At 46.9% G+C, this 8,556-nt stretch overlaps 1 pseudogene, besides 2 other annotated features; it reads right to left on the minus strand.

The window, feature by feature from the left end:
• Positions 666 to 1,167: an enhancer, noted in NCBI's record as "H3K4me1 hESC enhancer chr2:183934151-183934652 (GRCh37/hg19 assembly coordinates)". NCBI's record gives its function as "activates a minimal SCP1, AML or CMV promoter by ChIP-STARR-seq in naive H9 embryonic stem cells {active_cell/tissue: H9 hESC(naive)}" and the evidence as "EXISTENCE:reporter gene assay evidence [ECO:0000049][PMID:30033119]".
• On the minus strand, positions 2,039 to 3,805 carry KRT8P10 (keratin 8 pseudogene 10; annotated as a pseudogene).
• Positions 2,368 to 2,936: an enhancer, noted in NCBI's record as "NANOG-H3K4me1 hESC enhancer chr2:183935853-183936421 (GRCh37/hg19 assembly coordinates)". NCBI's record gives its function as "activates a minimal SCP1, AML or CMV promoter by ChIP-STARR-seq in naive H9 embryonic stem cells {active_cell/tissue: H9 hESC(naive)}" and the evidence as "EXISTENCE:reporter gene assay evidence [ECO:0000049][PMID:30033119]".

An 8,556-nucleotide genomic window follows, 5' to 3' on the forward strand; every position in this document is an offset into this window, starting at 1 on the left:
CTACTAAGTTGGCAAGGCAGGAGCACCGCACTCCCAGGCACAGCTGCAGCTGCACAGCTGTGGCTCTGAACCCAGAAAGGGTTCTTACAAGCTCAGAAGTGCCTGCTGTCTGGCCTCCTACTGTCTGGCCTCTGTCTGCTCCTGGTGCCCACTCTAGTGCAAGCCTGGGTGCTGTCACAACCCAGCCAGGTGTGCACGTGCTCAGGCCAGTGCTGACATGCCAGCCCCCTGCCACCTTAGCCCTCTTGGGACTTTGGGTACTGACAATCATGGGAAGGAGGTTGGGGGTGCTGAGGGAAGCTTGGCGTGGGCCTGCAGGCACCATTGGGCACTAACAGCCTGGGCACTGTGGATAGCATGTTGATGGCAGAAGGCAGACAGGTTCCTGGGTGGAAAGGGGCAGGTCCCTGGTGAAGCTCCACCGTCAAGCCAGGGGCCCCTTGAAGCATGAGGGCTGGGCTGTCAGTTCCAGGTAGAGTCTGCAGCCTGGAGTGAGAACTTATGGTGCATTTTCTGGTCCCACCCATGGCTGCCCATGGACCAATCAGCATGCACTTCCTCCCTTCTGAAGCTCATAAAAACCCCAGGACTCAGCCAGACTCTCAGAGACAGGATGACCTGTCTGCGAGTAGGAGCTACCCACTCTGGGTCTCATCTCTGCTAAGGGCTGCAGATTCAATGGGACAACCTGCCTGCAGAAAGGAGTTACCCACTTCAGGTCTCCTGAGAGCTTAATGTTGCTCAATAAAGCACCTCTTTGCCTTGCTCACCCTTCAATTGTCCATGTACCTCATTCTTCCTGGACACAGGACAAGAACTCAGGACCCACCAAATGGTGGGACTGAAAGAGCTATAACACAAACAGGGCTGAAACACTACGCGCCCCCGCCACTGCCTGCTTGCCAAGTTGTGGGTGACAAGAAGGGGAGAAGATTTGCCGCCATTTGGGGTGTTCAGACCTAGGGTCTCCCCAAGCCAGGGCTGTGACACCCTCTTTGGGGCTCTGTAATTTTTGGCATCTTCAAGCTTCTGGGCACCACCGTATTCCCCTCGTCCTCAGGTGCCCACAGTGGAAACCGCTTGTGATGCATCTGATCCAGCCACAGGCTTGCATGAAGCCAGAGTCTGTGCTGGCATCTGGAGCTGACTACCCCACTGCAGCAGCCGATGTGCCTGGCTGTGCACAGTGGCCTGACCCCCTACTTGCTCACTGACGCACCCCTCACTGCTCTGTGCCTGGCTCCAGTCTCTTCCGAGGCATGGGATCCAGTCTGGTAGCACGAGCTGAGCACAGCCTGCCAGGTCAAGTGGGCAGAATGAGTCCGGCAGGCCAGAGAAAATCCTGGGCAAAGGCATCACCGACCACAGAGGTTTACAGCTGGAAGAGCGACACTCTAAGGATCCTGTGACAGTATGTGGAGACTACTTTTTAAAAATACCATGTATCACAATGAATAGAACTATAAATTTCTGGGTTTAGAAATTCTAAATTTCTGGATTTAAAAATTTAGAATTCTATTTATTGTGATATATGGAATTTTTAAAAAGTAGAAATAGAGTGCATCCCATGCTCTATTTCACTGAGCTTGAAAATATCTCACTTGTTTTGGGAAATGTGAGATTCTTAAATATTAGCACAGACATGCAAGGAATTGATATTTGAAAGGAAATGCAGAGAGTTTGTATATCTCGACTGGGCGCGGTAGCTCATGCCTGTAATCCCAGCACTTTGGGAGGCTGAGGCAGGTGGATCACAAGGTAAGGAGTTCAAGACCAGCCTGGTCAGCGTGGTGAAACCCTGTCTCTACTAAAAATCCAAAAAATTAGCCAGGCATGGTGGTGTGTGCCTGTAGTCCCATCTACTCAGGAGACTGAGGCAGGAGAATCGCTTGAACCCAGGAGGCAGAGGCTGCAGTGAGCAGAGATCACACCACTGCATTCCAGCCTGAGCGACACAGCGAGACTCAGTCTCAAAAAAAAAAAAAAAAAAGAAAGTTTCTATATCTCTGTTTGTATGACTATATACATATATATGTATTTGGCAGAGCTAGCTGAGGTTTTATTTTGGAAAAAAATAAAAGCAATTTGAATTGTTCTGTAGCTGGAGGCATGGATGGGCAAGGGGGCTCCCCAGGTAGTAAACTCCCCTGCGGACGGGCTGAGGGCTAGGGCTGAGGCTCAGGTGGGTCTCCCGTTCTCTGTGCTACTCTGCACAGCCGCCCCCCTCACGGGCTCTGGTGCAGCCACAGGAGGGGCAGGCTGGGAGGGGCTGCTGTGGCTGTTCACTTGGGCAGGACGTCAGAGAACTCTGACACCAGCGTCCCATCACGGGTCTCAATCTTCTTCACAACCACGGCCCTGGTGTAGCTGATGCAGCTGAAGGAACTGGAGCCCGCGCCAGAGCCAAAGCTGGAGCCCAGTCCACAGCTGAGGCCGGGGCTTGTGAGGCCCCCATAGGCCGAGCTCAGACCACCTGCATAGCTGCTGATGGTCTTTGTATGGATACTCATGCTCTGCATCCCAGACTCCAGCCAGCTCTCCTCGCCCTCCAGCAGCTGCCTGTAGGTGGCGATCTCAATGTCCAGGGCCAGCTTGTCGTTCATCAGCTCCTGGTACTAATGCAGCTGCAGCACCACGTCCTGCTTGGTTTGCTGCAGGGCGGCCTCCAGCTCAGACAGCTTGGCGCTGGCATCCTTAACGGCCAACTCCCCGCGCTGCTCCGCATCTGCGATGGCGGCCTCCAGGGAAGCCCTCTGGCCTTTGAGACCCTCAATCTCTGCCTGGAGCCAGCTGATGTTCCGATTCATCGCGGAGATCTCAGTCTTTGTATGCTGCAGGTCATCTCCGTGCTTCCCAGCCAGCGTCTGCAGCTACTCATACTTGATCTGATACATGCTCTGGGCCTCAACCTGGCTGCGGTTGGTGATCTCGTACTGCGCTTGACCTCATTGATGATGCTGTCCATGTCCAGGGAGTGGCTGTTGTCCATGGGCAGCACCACAGACGTGTCTGAGATCTGGGACTGCAGCTCCGGGATATCCTCTTCATACAGCTGCCTGAGGAAGTTGATTTCGTCAGTCAGCCCTTCCAGGCGAGACTCCAGCTCTACCTTGTTCAGGTAAGCTTCATCCACATCCTTCTTGATGAGGACAAATTCATTCTCCATCTCTGTACGCTTATTGATCTCATCCTCATACTTGTTCTTGAAGTCCTCCACCAGCCCCTGCATGTTGCCAAGCTCCGCCTCCAGCTTCAGCTTTTCCTGGCCCAGAGTCTCCAGCTGCTGCCTAAGGTTGTTGATGTAACTCTGGAATATGTGTCCATGTTGCTCCGAGCCGTCTTCTGCTGCTGCAGGAGGCTCCACTTGGTCTCCAGCATCTTGTTTTGCTGCTCCAGGAACTGTACCTTGTATATGAAGGTGGCAAACTTAGTGTTGAGGGTCTTGATCTGCTCCTTCTTCTGAGTGTGCACTGCCTGGATGTGTGGGTCCACCTCCAGGTTAAGGGGGCTCAGCAGGCTCTGGTTGACAGTGACGGTGGTGATGCCTCCCATGCCACTGGCCCCACCGTAGCCTCCTCCCAGGCCACCCCGGAAGCTGCTGCTGCCCACTTGGGAGAAGCTCGAGGAGCTGATGGAGGCACCAGGCCCACTTGTGTAGAAATGGCTGCTGAAGGCCCGGGGGCCAGAAGTGGACACCCTGTAGGACTTCTGGGTCGTCCTGATGGACATGGTGGAGGCAGGAGTGGAGGCAGGCAGGTTGAACCAGGTGGAGTTTCCAGAAGGAGTGGAGAAGCTGCTTCTTGGTCGACTTCTTATATTATCAATATAATACAAATAACTAAGGCCAGACTCGGTGGCTCACGCCTGTAATCCCAGCACTTTGGGAGGCTGAGGCAGGTGGATCACCTGAGGCCAAGAGTTGGAGACCAGCCTGACCAACATGGTGAAACCCCATCTCTACTAAAAATACAAAAAAAATAGCCAGGCATGGTGGTGGGCACCTGTAATACCAGCTACTTGGGAGGCTGAGGTGGGAGAATCGCTTGAACCTGGGAGGTTGAGGTTTCAGTGAGCCAAGATCACGCCACTACATTCCAGCCAGGGCGACAGAGCAAGACTCCATCTCAAATATATATATTTATATTTATACAAAACCACACATATATAAGCAAAAAATGTTGTGTAATCAAAATACTCCAGTAACAAATTTATAAATGAGGAATTGTATTCATGAAGAAAATTTACATTCAAACTTGTTTTAATTGAAATTTTTAAAAAGTCTTCTAAAGGATCACACAGGAAGCAGTTGCCATAATCATGAAAGGAATTTCATGGGTTGTTCTGTTTTGTTTTGAGACAAGGTCTCTCTCTTTGTCACCCAGGCTGTAGAACAGTGGTACGATTTTGGCTCACTGCAGCCTTGACTTCCTGGGCTCCAGCAATCCTCCTACCATAGCCCCCTAAATTGCTAGTACTACAGGTGCGTGCCACCATGCCCAACTACTTCTTTTGTATTTTTTTGCGGAGACTGGGTTTCACCATGTTGCCCAGGCTGGTCTCCAACTCCTGAGCTCAAGTGATCTGCCCACCTCGGCCTCCCAAAGTGCTGGGATTACAGGTGTGAGCCACTGTGCTTGGCCGAATTTTGTTTTTCTCTATATTCATTTCAGGCTGTGTCTGCATGTTCTTAGTGAAGTGCAGAATTGAGATTATTAACTCAGGCTAGAAATTGTAATGCAAAGAGGAGGATCTTTGATTATTTATGAATGATTTTTACCCATATAAGTCACATCTTAATTAATGAGGATTACATATTCCCATGGCAGATTTTATTATGTAACATGTCAGAGCATGTAATGTAGTGGGATAAAAGTGGATCTTAGAATTCAACAGACCAGTGGCTGGGCACGGTGTCTCACGCCTGTAATCACAGCACTTTGGGAGGCCAAGGCGGGCGAATCACCTGAGGTCAGGAGTTCGAGACCAGCCTGGCCAACATGGAGAAACCCCATCTCTACTAAAAAAAAAAAAAAAAAAATACAAAAATTAGCCAGGCATGGTGTCGCTTGCCTGTAATTCCACCTACTCAGGAAGCTGAGGCAGGAGAATAGCTTGAAGTCAGGAGGTGGAAGTTGCAGTGAGCTGAGATCAAGCCACTGCACTACAGCCTGGGCGACAGAGCAAGACTCAGTCTCAAAAAAATCTTAAAAAATTAAAGAATTCAACAGACCTGAGACTAAATACAAAAGATCCACTGCTTACTACTTCATTTCGATTTAGCCACTTTATCTAAAAGTGAGATTTTTATGAGGATTAGAGGTAATGCTCAGAAAATGCCTAGCATAGCACTTCACATAGACACTCTAAATCTGTTAGGAGAGAAGAATTATATGGAGAACACAGGAACATATTCTAGGGTGTATTCACTTCACACTTTCCCCTTTTCCTCAGATCCAAGTCCCCAAGCCCTTGTAAGGATGTGCCCTTTCTTGCAGGACAATCTATTACCATTCATGTCTCAGCCTGGGAAATGCCTTCCCCAGGGGTGGAATGCTGTCTTCTCCCTCTGGCCTGGGTCTAATAACATTTTGCCTCTCATTTCTCTCCTGCCAGCACTCTAAGCTAGCTTTGTGTAAAGGATTTTTGCCCTTAAGGGACTTTTTGGAAAGCCGTACATTGCAGTGGAACGAGCATTGTATATTGAGTCAAGGGACCTGGGATTACAAGGGATATGAACTTGGGCAAATCAGTTTACTTTTCTGCACCTTGGTTCTTCTGCAAAATGTTGATATGAGTTGGATAGCATCTAGGTGTCAGGATATTAGCAATCAATGTTACTGCAGACATTAATATTCTAGTATTACCAGCAGGGACTGCAGCTATCAATGTATAACCAACAACTCTACCCATCCTCTACAGAATGATGTAGTGTAAAGAATATGGGCTCATGAGTAAGATAGAACTGTGTTCAACCTTGTTACTCAGATCTGTTACCTAACAGATCTGGACTGTGTGACCAAAGGCTATGTCCTTAGGTTCCAAGTTAAATGTCCTTCTTTATAAAAAGAGAATGGATGCCTATTTTATTAGGTTATCATGTGGATTGAATCAGATACTGTTTGTATATTCCTGGGACATAGATCTGTTCTTGTTGAAGGAGTCTTTAAATCCATTATAGTGCACAGTCTTTATCTTACTCAACACTATCAACAGCATATGACACAGCTGATCACATTGTGTACTTTAATACATTTTCTTTACTTGTACTCTCAGAACTCTCTCTCTCATTCATTTTCGTTCAACTCCCTGACCTCTCCTTCTTAGTCACTTTGGTATACATGGGGCTTCTCTATCAACCCTCACTACCAGGCCATCTCATTCAGCTCCATGGCTTTATATAGCATCTTTAAGCTGATTATTCCAGAAGTTGCATTTCCAGCAGATACCTCTCTTATGAAGTCCAGATTCATATGTATAGCTGCCCACTTGATATCTCCATTTGGCTGACTAATTGACATCTCCATTTGGCTGACTAATAGGAGTATTAAACTTAACAAGTCACAAACTTCTTCTCATATTCACATCACCTGTTTCTTGGTAACTGGCAAATCTATTCTTCAGTTGCTTAGGCTAAGAACTTTGGAATTATCTGAATCACCCCACATCAATCTACTAACAGATTCTCTTGGCATGATTCTCACGTATCCCTAGAATCTAACTACTTTTTACCTTCCCTCTGCTGCCGTTCTAGCGCAAGCAACTGTCATCTTCCATCTGGACCTCTGTAGTAGTCTCCTAACAACAAGCAGGAAAGGGAGCTTCCATCCTGCTCCCTTTCCTTGTAGCAGCCAGGAAGACCCTTCTATGGCATAAGCAATGTCATGTCACTTGTCATAGATTAAGTTTCCTGGAAGCTGACTGAGGTGGAGTTTAGCATGCAAGACTTTTCGAAGAGTGCCCTTGGGATCAACACTTGTGGAAGGGAAGAAGAAAGCAGAATTGGGCAGATAGAGAAGTCAAGTGGTTATACAGATCCAATGACAGGCTTAGCCAACCACGTGTTAGCTTTTTAGAGCTAGAATGATTCCTCAGAGTTGTTTCAAATTGGGCTAACATACAGATCTTTATGCTCCCTCATCAATCAGCCATGGATGTGGTCTATTCCATAAGGGACACAACCTCGGCAAAGCAGCCCTCTGCAGCTGCAGCAGTCCCTGAAGGGATTGTTACCAGTCAGCCAATAGTACACCCGGTAGTGGAGACAATAGGTATTCATTGAAGAAGGATCTGGGTAGCACAACACAGGATCCATCATATGACTCCTTTCCCTAGTTCCCTCCTGTGGCTTCCTATCACTCAGAATACAAGCCAAAGTTATTATCATTTCTCTCTGTCCACATCTCCTCCAACTCTTTCCCCTAATTCACTCCCTTAAAGCCAAGTTAGCTACCCAGGTGTTTCTTGAACCTCTCCATCTCCTACTAGTGCACTCCTGTTTCAGCACTTGGCATAGACAGTCCAAATCTGTCAGAAGATTTAGACACTTGGCTATTAAGCTATTCCCCCATATATCTACAGGGCTGGCTTCTGCACTTTATTCAAGTCTCTGTTCAATTTTCACTGTATCAGAAGTGCTTTCTCTTACCACCCTAAAACAAATAACACGCTGCCCTCTCACTCTGTTCCCTTATTTTGCTTGATTTTTCTTTTTTTAGCATTTAAATTATGACCGAACATGGTTATATGTATATTTGTTTCTTGCTCTCTCCACTTGGATATAAGATCCATGAAAGAAGGGACTTTGTTTTTATTCACTGCTGTATTTCCAATGACTATAACAGTGCCAGGCACATAGCTGATGCTCAGTAAATATTCGTTAACTGTAATTATTTTGGAAGCAGGGCCGTATTCTACAGTAAATAAAAGATAAGGCACTGGACTGAAACAAACATAGGTTTTATTTGTGATTCTAATCACAAATAGGGGTGAGGTCAAATATGATAATGTGTGTAAAGCATTGTTAAGCAGCTAAGGGATAATACTAAGAATCTAAAATTGTTTATAAGCGCAGTGCCTAGCATGCAGTGAATGCTTAATAGTACTTATTTTTTTGATCATTATTATGATAAATATATGGATTGATTTATGGTTAGAGTTGTTTTTTGATGAGCCTGTGATTGTTGTTTAAATGATGCAAATAATCTCTTCAGTTTTTCATTTTAGGACATCCTGTAGATAGCCTGAGCTTATATATATATATATTTTTCTCTCTCTTTCTTTTTCTTTTCTTTTCTTTTTTTTTTTTTTTTTTTTTTTTGAGACAAGGTCTTACTCTGTTGCCCAGGCTGGAGTACAGTGGCATGATCATGGCTCACTGCAGCCTCAACCTCCTTAGCTCAGGTGATCCTCCCACCTCAGCCTCCCAGGTAGCTGAGACTACAGGCACGTGCCACCAAACCTGGCTAATTTTTTGTATTTTTTAGTGGAGTTGGGGTTTCATCATGTTGCCCAGGCTGGTCTCGAACTCCTGGGCTCAAGCAATCCACCCATTTTGGC

The sequence above is a fragment of the Homo sapiens genome, chromosome 2 (assembly GCF_000001405.40).
Source record: "Homo sapiens chromosome 2, GRCh38.p14 Primary Assembly".
Taxonomy (NCBI): domain Eukaryota; kingdom Metazoa; phylum Chordata; class Mammalia; order Primates; family Hominidae; genus Homo; species Homo sapiens.